The sequence below is a fragment of the Homo sapiens genome, chromosome X, assembly GCF_000001405.40.
Source record: "Homo sapiens chromosome X, GRCh38.p14 Primary Assembly".
In the NCBI taxonomy this organism is placed as follows: Eukaryota; Metazoa; Chordata; class Mammalia; order Primates; family Hominidae; genus Homo; species Homo sapiens.
The window spans coordinates 36302058-36317258 of NC_000023.11; the positions used below are offsets into that span (position 1 = coordinate 36302058).

General features: G+C 33.7%; 1 protein-coding gene across 2 annotated transcripts in view; it reads left to right on the forward strand.

Moving 5' to 3' along the window:
- CFAP47 (cilia and flagella associated protein 47) overlaps positions 1-15201 on the forward strand; it is a 465584-nt gene that overhangs the window by 382324 nt on the left and 68059 nt on the right. Inside the window, exons 54-56 of one of the 2 annotated variants that reach the window (NM_001304548.2) lie at positions 1792-1903; positions 4715-4819; positions 8776-8932. In NM_001304548.2, the coding sequence (NP_001291477.1) occupies positions 1792-1903; positions 4715-4819; positions 8776-8932 (374 nt within the window). Of the gene's footprint in view, positions 1-1791; positions 1904-4714; positions 4820-8775; positions 8933-15201 lie in introns of those variants that run through there. The other variant, XM_017029452.2, reaches the window with a different exon arrangement.

The following is a 15201-nucleotide window of genomic DNA, read 5'->3' on the forward strand; positions in this document are numbered from 1 at the left end:
TGAAAATATTTTATTCCTATTTTTCTAAGGTATTGTTTATGAGAAAACTTGGGAAATTGGTAATATACGAAGCAGATGCTTACCAAAAAATGATGGGAAATCTGTCATGATTTTTAGTGTATTTTATTCACTATAATTAATGAAGTTTTGGTTATTTTCATTGAATTTCTTCATATGTCCCTGGTGAAAGAACAAATTCATGATTTACAGAGACTTGTTAAATTTGTAGTCTAGAATCACAAAACTGACATATAATGTTCTTTTTAAGGTGAATCATTTTATACATATACTTTATATAAAAACAAGAAAATGGTGCTTTATTTGAATTATATAATTTGAATTTATGAACTGAATTCTGCTCAGCACATATTACCTAATTTTCCTCTGTCACAAGGCCATGACATTGTGAAAAACAATATATGTATGGTGATGATTCCATTCTTTTTATTACAGATTTGCTACCTAAATATTTTAATCTTACTCTATATTGTAAGCAAGAAACAGTAAAGAGATATGAAAAACTGTACATAGATAAAATTATGTTATTATGTTATACTTTACAGAAAGAATGAAGATGACAAGCTGGATGCTGTACATTAAAAACCATTAGAATTGATAGTTGAGAATTATGAACACTCATTTATTATTTGTTTAGAGCATAAATAGTCACATATTTTGGGCATTTACTCATCATCAATTTGGATCTTGTTAATGTTCTCAATGAAAACTTCGTGCATTTATTACTCTGTTATTACGACTAGACTGTGTTAGCTTTTTTGGCTGGATTTAGCATTATAAAACAATAAGTAAACATTATTCCTAAAACTGGAATATATTCTAATATCTAATATGGGATAACATTAGGTCTCAAAAATAGAGAACCAAGGATTAAAATGTCATTAGTTCATACATAATTATTTTGAGTTTGAAACTAAAAGAAGTCATTATATTAGCTTCCTAGGGTTGCCATTACAGGCATCATAAACTGGGTGGCTTAAGACCACAAAAATGTATTGTCTCACAGTTCTGAGGCTAGAAGTTTAAAATCAAGGGTTCACCATGACCATGCTCCTTCTGAAACCTGTAAGGGATAATTCCTTGCCTCTTTTAGCTTCTACTTCTTCTTCTTCTTTTTTTCTATGTTTTAGAGACAGGGTCTTGCTCTGTCACTGAGGCTGGAGCGCAGTGGTGCAATCATGGCTCACTGCAGCCTCAAACACCTGGGCTAGAGCGATCCTCCTGCCTCAGCCTCCCAAGTATGTAGGACTACAGGCAAGCTACCATGCCTGGCTATTTTTTAAATTTTTTGTAGAGACAGGTTCTTACTGTATTGCTCAGGCTTGTCTTAAACTCCTGGCCTCAAGTGACCCTCCAGACTCAGCTTCCCAAAGCATTGGGATTACAGGCATGAGCCACTGTGCCTGGTCTTTTTTAGCTTCTTCTGCTTGCCAGCAACGTTTGGCTTTCTGTGACTTGAGATACATCACTCTAATCTCTACTTCCACTGTTATATGGCCATCTTCTGTGTATCTTCACATGATTCTATTTACAAAGACACCAGTCATACTGGATTAAGGGCCTGTCTTATTCCAGTAAGACGTTATCTTAACTAGTTACATATGCAGTGACTCTATTTCCAGATAATATCACATTCTGAAGTACTAGGAATTAAGACTTCAATATATCTTATGGGGTGACATATTTTAATCCTAGGGGTCATCAAGTTTATGGAATTAACACTAAATAAGTTTATGAATACCAGCAACTTTACTAGCTTTTTTTTTCTCCTAGGCATGTCACTCAGATCATTCCTTTAGTTAATTGTACGCATGAAACCTTAAAATTGCAAGTAACAAACAGTAATCCTGAAAATTTTGTCCTGGATATTAACAGAAAATCACAAGTAAGTAAATTCAGAGAGCCATGAAATTTACTGCTGCTAGATCATTTTCCAATTCTGATTTTGGGACACTGGTGGAGTATTATCACTTGAATTATTACTAAGGATTTAAATTTCTAAAATTTAAGAATTGAATTTTATAGGCCCAGCGGGGTGGCTCATGCCTGTAATCCCAGCACTTTGGGAGGCTGAGGCGGGCAGATCACTTGAGGCCAGGAGTTTGAGACCAGCCTGCCCAACATGGCAAAACCCCGTCTCTACTAAAAATACAAAAATTAGCCAGACGTGGTGTCACGTGCCTGAAATCCCAGCTACTCGGGAGGCTGAGGAATGAGAATCACTTGAACCCAGGTTGCAGCGGTTGCAGTGAGCTGAGATCGTGCCACTGCCCTCCATCCTGGACGATAGAACGAGACTCTGTCTCCAAAAGTAATCAAAAAAAAAAAAAAGGATTTTCTTTTATATACTTCTCCCCTTGAATTTTAATTTATCTACAAAACAATATCATGTTAATATAAATTTTTAAAATTATATATGCTAGAATCATGCTCATGATTACTTCATTCTAATAAATTGGTTGCGTTTTCTTTCTCACCATTTTAGTAATCGGTTTTTGTAATAGTTTCCAGTATTATGATTATTAACTCTATTGTCATTATATGTTGCCAGGGTTCCAAGGGACCAGTTGTTTTCTAGCCTTTCCTGAGTTCTTGCCCATCCCCCATTCCTCACCCCTGACACAGACACACACTTTGAGACAATGCTGACAACTCTAGCCCTCTCTGCTTCTTTCTCTGCCCAACTTTCTCATTCTTAGATCCTGGCAGAGGCTAGGTCCAGTCAATGATACTAAATCACTCTTCTCCTTCCTGCAAGTTACAAAATAAGATCCTAAGGTTTAGCATGACTATCTCTGTTTCTAAAGCATAGGACACCATTTATTTGCAGTGAGTGTCATACTTTCAGGTAACCATCAAAATGATAATTACAATAGACTGTTTTTATCAAGGGACTTCAAAGTAAATCATGAAGCCCTGCTAGTAGATATAGTATTTAAATAAAGGCTTTTACTATTTGTTGTTTAACGATTGTTTAACAAATCTACACTTTGATTTCTTTATTTATATCTTAACATCTGTCTCTTGTCAGTTACTGGTTGCCAACTTATGTAATGATATAAAAGTAGTTCTTAGCTATCATAATATGTCAAATTAGAAATCACTAATTACTATATTGCTAAAATTGGTGTATATGCTTTAATCTTAGAAAGCGTATATTAAAGTGTACACACATTATTATATCATTCAATACCACATTTTTCCATAAATTATATGAAGTCTGATATTCAGGATATAATTTATATATTACTGAAATTCCTCATTAGAAAGTGGTGTTTTTGTATCCTTTATATCTCTACTTTTAGAGAACAGTCTAATCTGTGGTCCAAGGGAAAATAAATGTAATATTTTGCACATCCAAAGTTACATTACATAATCAAGAATATAAACTCTGTTTTAACATTTCCAACCATGGCTTTCTAGTCCATTAATTCTTCTATTCATTTATCAAACATTATTGAGCACTGAATATGCAATTAACTCTAATATTAGAAAACAACTCAAAAAGCTATTTATGAGAAAAATACTATCACATTTTAGAAAACAAATAGGAGCACACATTAATTATAATGATAATAAATGAAAAATATATAGAGAGAAATATCCATCTATTTATATCCATGGAGAGAATAAACTATTTTTCCAAATTTTCTAAGTTGAAAGACTATATAAAATGCAATTTTACTTATTATTTTTGCTAAGTCTGACAGTGAAATTAATTAATAATCCTAAAGTGTATATTAACTGATAATCCTGAAACATTCAAGATATCAGAGAGCAAGCCAGCCTGAGATAAAAATATTAGATGTAGATAAGCTACAATTGTGTAATAAACAGGTGACTGTGTTCTAAATATAAAATTTAGTTTGCATTTGCATTTCATAAATAATTATCACAGTTTATTGGGCATCAACTGCTGTATTCAAGAAGGATTGAAAGATACTGCTTAATTGTAATTTTGCCTTTTCAAAGTTTTTCTGGCAAAATATATTAGTGTAAAATAATAGACTTCCTTTTCATACATGTGCCACTCATGCTATCATTTTGTAAGTGTTTATCTTCAAATTAAATTATTTCCAGTGTAGCATTTTGATTACATAATATACTCAAGCCCTTATTATATTGTGTTGGAGTCACTGGCTTCTTTCACAGTCTCTAAAGAAGTAACTTAAACTAATACTGTACAGACTCAAGTTATCCTAGCAGGTCACACCTTGAATGTGTAGGAGGAAGAGGAAAATTTCCTTGCACATTAAAGAAGCATGTCTTACACCTTTGCTTAGAAACAGTTCATTTCTTTTGAAATGAACAAAAGTAACAAATTAAGTTACAGGTGGTTTGACATGTACCTTGGGATGGGCAATATGCTATGGGATCTTACATAAAGTGTATATGTCTTTTATTGAAGGTTCGAACTGAGCTTTAAAAATTAACCCTGACTTCCTTGTACAGAATGAGTCCTCCAAGTGGTGATTATCTTGGATAAGAACATGATGTGATCACCCCCAAACACGGTTTAACATGGGCCCTTTGAACAATATTCAAGGAGCAGGCATACTGAGAACAGATAATGTGTGCAAGACAACACATTAATCACACAAACATCGACCCTGCATATAGCTAGTACACAAAGATACCAACTCAAGCCAATTGGGTATTAATTTTTGTTCCCCCTTTGCTTTTTCCATTTACACAGCTGATCATATCTCCTCACTCCACCACAGAATTACCTGTTCTCTTTTATCCTTCTGCACTTGGAAGAGCTGATCATCAAGCTTGCATCAACTTCTACTGTACTCAGGTATGATAGAGTATTCTTGGACCAAACCAAGTTAATTAAATTTTAAATCAATATATAAATAAATATAATTCATCATTCACTCAATTATCATATTTTGCAAGTAAAACAAGTTAATTATAAGTTAATTAAATGATTTTTGTAAAATAAAATATGCATTATGTACATGCAGACATCTGAAGAAGGTATTTTTAAATACATAGATCAGTGGAATAAAGACAAATATATACCCAGATTTAAAACACAGATATTTCAATGTACATATCAAATCACTGGCATTTATGTTAATTTTCTGACTTGAGTTTTACTACTCAACTTTCCATAAACTTAAATATAAAATATAGAGTGCAATTTGTAAATATTTGTTATTTTTTCCACTGCATTTCATCTGAACAGTGTTCCTAAATATTAATTTTTAAAAACAATAGTTTTTCGCTTTTGACAATCTCTAAATATGTCCCATATCATTCTAAGAATTATCCCAATTCATTCTCACCGTAGTCCTATAATGGAAGTACTGTTATCAATCCTACTTTATGCATCAGGAATCTGAGACACAGAGAAATTAAAATCAGGCAGCCAGTAAAAGGTTGAGGTGTGACCTGAATCCAGGATAATCTGGTTTCAACTCATCTTCATGTCTACTTTTCACAGCTACTTAGTTAGCCAAGTGATTGTTAACTCTCTTACTACCAATTAAAATTTTATGTAAAATTTTACCATTTATATTATTTTTACTTCTTCAAATGTTCATGGGGAGGAATGCAAATGGAGGAATGTACTTTATATCTTAGAAGACATCAAGGAGCTTACAAAACCCTGACATCTGAGGGGCAGTGGAATCAAATATAATACAGGCGTCTCCATGTCAGTACAGGGCCTATGGGTAGCTGAAGTATCTTCATTTCCAAAAAATTTGTAATTTATTTTTAGAAAATTTGTTTTGAGGCTGTTAACTTGTCTAAATATGGTAATGACTAACTAACACTTTACCTGAGACAAATGCTATAGAAATATGCTTCTTTTTCAAAAATATTAAAGGAGACAAACAGTGATCCTTCTCATACAGAAGGAAATATATAATGGAGATTATTTTCTTTCAGACAAGTAATTTTAACAAAGCTGTTCTTTTAAGCGATTGCTGCATAGCAGGATTAGAACCCCTTCATCATAATTATTGGGGGCAATTTTTTTGCTTGCATTTCTGGTGGAAAGCATATCTATTCAAGGGCAGTCTTAGAACTCAGCAGGGAGATAATCAGTTCTGTATCTTAATAGCTTTAAAAATTCCTAGCCTAGAAGTTGAATGTTAAATTCTTTATCAAACACAAAAAGGCTCAAACAAGAAAATATTATCAATTCAAACCTTCTATGAGTCAGTTGAACACTGATGGTTAATTTCAGTCACTCTGAGTATCTCCTTCCAACTTGTAGCAAATCTATAAGGATTCAGCCATGATTAGACTTCAATCAATAATTCATGCTTTCAGCTATCAGGTCTAGACCTCCTCAACCTTCTCAATATATTGCTGTAACCTTTGTGATTTTTCTTGCCATATTTATCATTGAATCATTTAGTTCTTCCTCTTTTATTTAATTCATCCAGTTGACATCTTTTGCAAGAAAAACTAGTTCATCATAAAGTATTAATTGAATGAACTTTTGAAAATGTGGTATGCATTATGTATGAACAGGCATCTAAAGAAAATATTTTTTAAAATAAACTTTAGAGTTTATTTTTCTAAGTCTGAGTTTGGAATAACATTTACCATTAGGGAAATAGCCATATAGATTTCCATCCCTCTCTTGATTTAACTGATTAAATCTATCTAAACTGACACACACAGCTGATTAGCTGATGAATCTAAAGCCAACTAATGGCTGTTCTTATAGGGTAAACTTTATTTCTGATGGTACCTCTTTGCTGGATTGAGGGAAATGGCTATGGTTCATTATCTGCTTCATTTGTTTCTGGTTTCAATTCATGTGAAAAACTCTGCAATGTAAAAAATCTAACCATTCAGTTATGATTAGGGTTTGGGTTAAGTTCAAATTGTTTGTGCAGATTTTGAATCCTGTGATTAATTTGGTCAGGACATCACAACTGCAAATATCATAAACTTATATTTTATGCAACCAGAGTCTCTAAATTAAATTATGTTACTACATAACAGAATAAGAGGAGCAGTAGTAAGCAGCAAATGTGGTAAATTATAACTTCTCTTTGGTTTCGAAGATTATGTTCTGAGATTTTCTTTCTTGGTTTTCAGATGCTTCCTTTTTATTTTCAGATAGGTGCCTTGTTTATTTCATTCCTATTTGATTGTATGATTTGTTTCATCTAAAGGTCAGAATAGCAAAAATTAAGGAAGAAGTTATAAAATCAGTGGTTTTACAATCCAGCGTGAGTCTGTGATCTTTGTAGCCTGTGCCTATGGAAAGTTCTGATTCTTCTTAACAAGTTTTAATTCTCTGGAGCTCAGTGTGCAAACTAGATTTGCTATCCTTTATATCCACTTGTTTTCTCTTTCAGAAATATCAAAATTGTATCTTTAAAAGTTTTAATGTCTCTCCTTTAGAAGAAGATTGAGAAAAATGTGGGCTGAATATATTAATTGTTGAGTGCATATGTTTGCTGGGTTACTTTTTAATTTGCCATTCTGAACCCAAGTGAATAATGTAATCAATGCTAGGAAAAGTGTTGGATGTCAGTGTTCAATAATCGTGGGATGTGGTTTAACATAGAAACTCCAGTACTCTATGCGACTTGAGAAAACATGAAACCATGACCTTCTTTTTGTCACTTGGCTCATTTACAATGGTTTAAAGTAACACGAGTTCTCCCATTTAAGATTTCTTTTATAAAATATCCAAATAGTAAATAATTTACTTAAACCACTTTTTAATTTAATTGAACTCTGATGCTTGACTTTAAACAGTCAATTTTGTGAATCAAGTTAGGACGTTATTATTGAAAATATAGTTAATTTGTATTATGCTAGTCAAATCTGTGACTAATAGTAATATAGTCATTTGAAGATAATATCCAGATGAAATATGCCTTTAATTCTCTCTACTAAGGAGGCAGGATTTTTATGAGTTTTCTTTCACTACTTCTCCTTATTTGAAGTAATCTTCAAGCAAGTTTCCCTCTTTTTATCAGAATTTAAGCTTGGAAACGTCTATATAGTTTGAGAGATTATAAAGTAGGACATTGTTTGTGATCCCTTTATTCATCTGCACATTACCAAAGTGTTTGTTGCAGAAGTTTAAGAGACCCTGGAACTGAGTCACAGTGTACTGTACTCTGAAGGGACTTTTATCCTAAAATACAAAGAGATTTTCAAACAGAGCTTTACATGCTAATGAAACTTAGATAAAAATAATAGCCACATTCAATCTCCTTCACATAATTTTTGATTCATTTATCCATATCATGTGATAACAGATAATGCACTGGACTCGATGATGGAGATAAATAATATGGCATGCAATTGTACATACTTCCTTTTATTGGAGCTTCAATCTGTGCCTCATCTTCTTTGCCTTAATGTGGCAGCTATCTGAATTTCATTTGAAATTCACCCAAAGAGTTTGGAAACTACATGCAGTGTTTGGTATCAAGTTTGTTAAAAAAAAAAAAACTTGAACAGAAGTGCCAGGTTTTCCATTAAACTTTCTCTTTTATGTTGCTATAATAACTTTATGTGCATTGAAATATGTTTGATATTTGAATATTGCACTTTTGCCCTCTTCTGCCTCAAAGTAAAAATACATAGAATTATTTTTCCATAAAATTAAAAGGAATTTGGAAAAGAAAGGAAAAATAAAACAATGCTTTTTAACAACAAAACTTTTCTTATCTGTCCAAATTTTTATATGCATTATACTTATTAAGTATTGCAAATAAAATATATGCAGTTAGGACACATAAGTTACGAATACTTATCTTCAAACAGTTTACAGAATGGAAATTCTACTTATCTGGAGTAGGACTATTTCCCCAGCCTCTAGACACGGAAAGAATAACCACACGCATTGGTCTTCAGTCAACTATTGTTATACCTTTCAAAAATCCCACAATGGAAGATGTCCTCATTGATATAATACTGACAAGTAAGTTGTTTTTCTTATATTTTACATGTTATTTTATAGGTATTTATCAGACTTATTTTATCATAGAATCAAAACATTTTAGAACAAATGAATACTTTAGAAATCTGTAAAGAAAATTATCTTATAAAAGAGAAAACAAGATTTGAGAGACGCAGTATTTTGGCTGAAATCACAGCTCATAATGGTACAGAATCAGAATTAGATAACTATATAACAAATCAAGTTCTTCCAAATTTGGTCTATAAACCCAAATATGTAAATTAGTAGATTTGTAAGATTCTTATGATATTATTCAAATATGCCAATGCTTATTCCTCAAAACTTTATAGAAATTCTGATATGGTGATTTTGTTTCCTTTTTGCATTTTCTTAATAAAGAGACAACATATTTGGAATAAATTGTGGCTTCAATCAGCCTTGTCCCTTTTTTATGCCATATTGAGGGTATATGTTTTTAATTAGATTATTTGAAGAGTTTGATCACTTTATATTAAACAAATAAATAATGTGAGTCTGAATTAAAAATTAACTCAGCATGAGTTTTTTGAAACACATTTTCAATCTAATATTGAGCAGTACCAATTTATCTTTTCAACTATTATTACTACTTCTACTAAAACTATTATTAGTGCAATTATTGGGTTAAAGTTATATATTTTATGGTTTTTTATATAAATGACCAACTTACTCTCCAGAATGTTTATACTTTTGCAATTCATGCTGCAATTAGAAGTATAATATAGACATTACCTATTTTCCAGAACTGTGTAAGCCCTGAGTAATAACATTGTCTTTAGTCTCCATCAATCTGATTGAAAGAACATTATATTGTATTATCATTGCAAATTTTTTATATAATGTTGAAGCTGAACATGTCATTTACCTGTTGCACTTTGGTGCTTTTCTATCATTTCTTCATCTTCTTGGAATGAAATAATTTTAAATATTAAGAAAGTAATGTCATCTCATGTAAAATTCCCTTATAAGAATTTTGGCTGCGATCAGGAGAGGCATGTGGTGTTTAATAAATGTTGATTGCAAGCTCAAGGAAATTAGCATTTTAAGATGGAAAAGACTTGAGCATATGTATAAGCAGAAGGGAGAAGCCAGGGTTGAACAGGAGTTAAAGATATAAACGAGGTAAGGTTTAACTGATAGACTAAGGGTCTAGGAGGGTTGGGATCAGAACAGAGGTAAAGGAAGAGCTGAACAGGAGAGGATTTCTTCCTTAGGTGGGGGTAAAATAAAACAAATATGGGTGTCAATAAATTGGTAGGTAGTGGAAGGGCTTTGGAATTAGGAGCAGTCATATATTTACATTTTTATCTGCTGAGGAAGAGAGATATAGTAGAGAATTTGAAGAGTGGAGTGGTGGTTTGAAATAACTGTTGGAGAAAAAGGAACATGGAGCTGACAAAATTAAATATAAAAGTTATTGTGTTTGGCTGGGATTTAAATCATAAATTTAGATATGCACCAAAAAAAATATGTGTTTGTGACGTTTATACCAATTGTAGGGCACAGAATTTTTAGAATGTCAGCATACAAGGCGTATCAATGGATCTTTCCAGGGAATGAAATTTTCAGGATAGGTGCAGCCAAATGACTTTATAACTATGAGCATGTTATAAAAACAAATTTGGATTAAGATTTTAACATTAAAAATAAATTTTAAAATAATGTGTGACTTTCTAGTTTTCTAACATTGCTGTACATTTCTTTCTGCTATGTAACAATAAAACATAGCTTGACAATTAAAAATTGATCAGTCTTTTGCAGTTCAAAACAGTCTCTTTTAAGTAAACTCACTTGCTCTTGGGCAAATGTTCAGGCTTTGTTTCTCCCCCTTCTTCCTTAAACCTGAGGAGATATGAGACAAAGGAAGATTCACAGACCTTTAATATCTTGTTTCTCTTTCTCTGTCTCCCTATCCTATGTGAAAAAGAACTTCTTTCCCCGTTGTTGCTGATGGCATCTCCCTTTCTGTTATATTCTTATCCTTCTCCCTTTTGTGGTATCTTTTTTAGGCATTATCTACGTATCTACTTGTGCTTATAGTCCTTGGTGGCTAAGCCTCACAATTTGATCTACAGAAAAACATGGTCTACAGAAAAACATGACTGATGAGAAGAATTAAAATATTTAATATATATGCAAAATATACTCATTAAAAATAGAGATTAATACTATATTAGTTCATTTTTGCACTGCTATAAAGAAATACCTGAGAATTGGTAATTTATAAAGGAAAGAGGTTTAATTGACTCACAGTTCTTCATGGCTGGGGAGGCCTCAGGAAACTTACAATCATGGTGGAAAAAAAACAGGCATGTGTTACATGACGGCAGGGAAGAGAGATCAAGTGTGTAGGAGGAAATATCAAACACTTATAAAACCATCAGATCTCATGAAAATTCACTCACTCTCATCAGAACAGCATAGGATAAACCGCCCCATAATCCAATCAGTTCCCACAAGATTCCTCCCTTATCACCTGGGGATTACAATTTAAGATGAAATTTGGGTGGTGGGGACACAAAGCTAAACCATATCAAATACCTTCTCATTTAAATATTTGGAAATGTCTTTAGATTATTTCATGATAGGAGTAGGCAATCTCATTTTGTCTTTTAAAAGAAGATGTAAATTTTCTTACAGATTCTACAGAATTAAAAAAAAATTCTTAGGCAAGTTGATAACAAGACTCATCTCACCAAATGGTTCCTTGCTGGTGTGAGGAATCTCACAGCTTTTCAGATCCTGCATCCTGCATTCCTCATTTTTCTCTCTCTCTCTCTCCTCATTAGCTGCAAATCCTGGAATGATTTCTTGCCCTTATGGATAGCATGGCAACTTGTGCATAGCTTGATTTAAATATCTGTCACACTCATTGTAGCTAATATTTGTTAATCCCACAATATTTGTGAGATCTTTGCAGACATGATCTATTAGTAACTTGAGCAAATGAGACAGAAGAGGCTTTTGATGCTTGTCTGCTGAATGACTGGACCATAAATAAAATACCCAAATTTCTAAAACTTAGAGATAATACGGTATAAATTAAGTACCAAAGATCTTTGGAATATCAAAAGACATTATTTCTGGGAGAAGTAATAAAAATAGAAATAGCCAAGACATTAGCAGGAGAAAAGACAGAGAATTGGGCAATCCAGAAGTTTGATAGTGAGTTTGAAATTCTAAAAATGCTGCCTTCTTGGAAAAAGTAGTGAATTTGAAGATCTTTATATATTTTATATATTTCTAACTCTGTCTGTGTAGTGATGGAAGAAAAATTTTAGCTGTATTAAGTTTAACAGAGTTTAATTGAGCAAATAATGATTCACGAATCAGGCAGCCTCCAAAGCCAGAGTAGGCCCAGAAACCAGCATAGCCACGTGGTGTAAGATTTATGGACAGCAAAAGGAAAGTGACATACAGAAAACAGAAGGGAGGTGCAAAAACAGCCGATTGGTTACAGCTCTGAGTTTGCCTTATTTGAACATGGTTTGAACACTTGGCAACCTCTGATTGGCCAAACCTCAATGATTGGCACAAGAGTAGGCTTACAGTCTGTTTACAGTTCCATATAGCTTATGGTTCTCAATGTACAGAGAAACCTTTAGGCTGAACTTAAAATATGTAAGGAGGCAGTTTTAGGCTAAACTTTTTAATGCTATCTATCTATCTGCCTATCTATCTATCATCTATCTATTTATCTATCTATCATCTATCTACCTACCTATCTGAGAGAGAGAGAGAGGCAAAAGAGAGTGGAGATATGCTAGGATATTGAAAAAGTCTTAAATACTATCATAAGGAATCCAACTTTTATCCTTTAGATAATGAGAGTTTTCAAAAGATTACCTGTACTTTATAACCCGCATTTTGAACGCTAACTGTAGAATTATTTGTGGATGACGGATATGGATGGGTTGGGGGAAAACTGGAATTGAGAAGCAAAGCTCAGAAGATTTAAGCCAGTAACAGTGGAAAAGTCCATGACCACAGGTAGCAGAAAAGCTCACAGTATATACCTAGAATTTTCCCTAAAGCCTGAGAATCTGTTTCTTTAGCAAACATATTTAATGTTTCATGTGTCCAGACTACTTTTTCTTCAGACAACTATACTATGTTGCCTAAAAGTATGTTTCTAAAGGCTTACCTGTATTCCTGATATTTTTAATACTCAAGATGAGTGTTTTGTTATATCCATCTTAAAATAGTCCGATGCTAAATATTATTGTGGTTGTGCTATTTGGAGAAGAAATTGAGCACCTTGGGCACACACTGGTCTGTGCATTACAACAAACTTACCATTATTTCCTAAGGAGAATTTTGGCACCATTCACAGGGAATTACTTAGTGGAGTGGCTTGCCCTTCACTCAAGCATAAATACTTGTTATGCTCCACAATTTGCACATGAGGGTGTGAACCCGACCTTTAACTTAACTTTCAGTTAGGGCATATGGTGCCCTTGTAATTTAACAGGTGATACACAGTTGTGATTGAATCTGGGGACACATAATAGTTATCAATTATAAAGACTATACTGAGCACTTCATGTGTGTGATTTTTTAAGTTATCTCAGGACAACAAATATTCAACTAGTATTTATCTGGGCCATTGTCCAGCTACCAACACCTGTAACTCTTGGATATTTCTTCTGGCTGCCCTAGTGAGTTAATTTTTCCTCAACCTATGGATGACAGGAAGTGGTGGAAAAATATTACAGTTCCCATTCCCCTGAGCAGTATACCTTTGAGATGTGTGTTCTGCACTGGCTCTCAGAGTTCCCTAGCTGCCTTGAGCCTCATGTATCCACAGTAGTAACTTCCTTTATAATACACCATTCATTGGAGTCCTTCTAATCTTTGTCTCACTTTTGCTCTTCCCTACTGGCATTTCCTGAGGTCACGTCCCAAATAACAGCTTCTGAGGAAACCCCAACTAAGACAGGAACCCTCTGAAATTGGCGTTATATCTGTTTTAAGGAGGATAAAATTGATTAATGGAGAGGCTTAACAACTTGTTCACGATCATGGAGCTATTAAGTGAAGGAAGTAAGATTAAAAACCCAACTCTGCAAAGCCAGGTTTCTGTGTACCTTTGCACATGGCTTCTCAGTAAGCAGGCAGAACAATTTCTCACTAACTGTTCACCTAGTTATATATAAAACTGAAAAGCTCAAATGGAGAGATAGTAAAGGATTACAGGAAAGACTTGCAATCTGTTTCTGTGAGTGGTCTGAAATCTACTTAACAGATTAAATAGGAGCCAAAAGCCCAGTACTTGAAATCAACTACACCCTCCCCCAACCACATTAAGAATTGTGTTCAGTGAATTTCACTGTGTTGTGATGTCATTTACCCATAACACCAGATTGCATAGAAATATTCTAAGGAGGTCATCATGATGTTGGTGGAGATGTTATCAAAGGATTTCTTATTACATTGCAATCTTTTTTAAATGAAATCTTTTTAAGAATCAGCTGTTAGTATCAGGAAGAATGGTTGCCTCTTTTGAGCAATTGTCTGGTTTTTGTACTGTGGAGCCTGATTATGTCACTACATTTTTCCTCAGTATATTAGTTTCTAAGAAAACATTTTGGCTTATTCCAAGTAAGTGACATGACCATACTGTGTCTCATCCGTGACTGCAGATGGTGTCCCTAATCTTGTTTCAACTTTCTAAAAAATTATTCTAATTCATCTTTTTTGTGTTTTATATTTTTGTGACATACCCAACTTAGGAATAGAACTCTTCACGCAAGGAGACATTCAACCTGTAACAGGAACAGGGTAATTTTTTGTTTTGAGACATGGTCTCACTTGGTCCCGTAGGCTAGAGTGCAGTGGCACGATCTCAGCTTACTACAGCCTCCACCTCCCGGGCTCAGATGATTCTCCCACTCCACCCTTCCCAGTAGCTGGGACCACAGGCATGTGCCAGCATGCCCAGCTAATTTTTCGTATTTTTTATAGGGACGAAGTTTTGCCATGTTGCCTAGGCTGGTCTGGAACTCCTGACCTCTAGTGATCCACCTTCCTTGGCCTCCCAAATTTCTGGGCTTATGAGCCACTGCGCCCAGCCCTCAGAGTGAATGTTGGAATTCACATGGTAGAATTAGTTATGAAAATCCCTGGAGGTCCTCTGAATCTTATCTAAAGTACATCCAGAGTTGAACAAATATTTATGTAATATATGTAGTAATCATTGCAAATAGCCAATCAGGATAAGCATGGTTTTATACTTAAGAAGAGAGACAAAT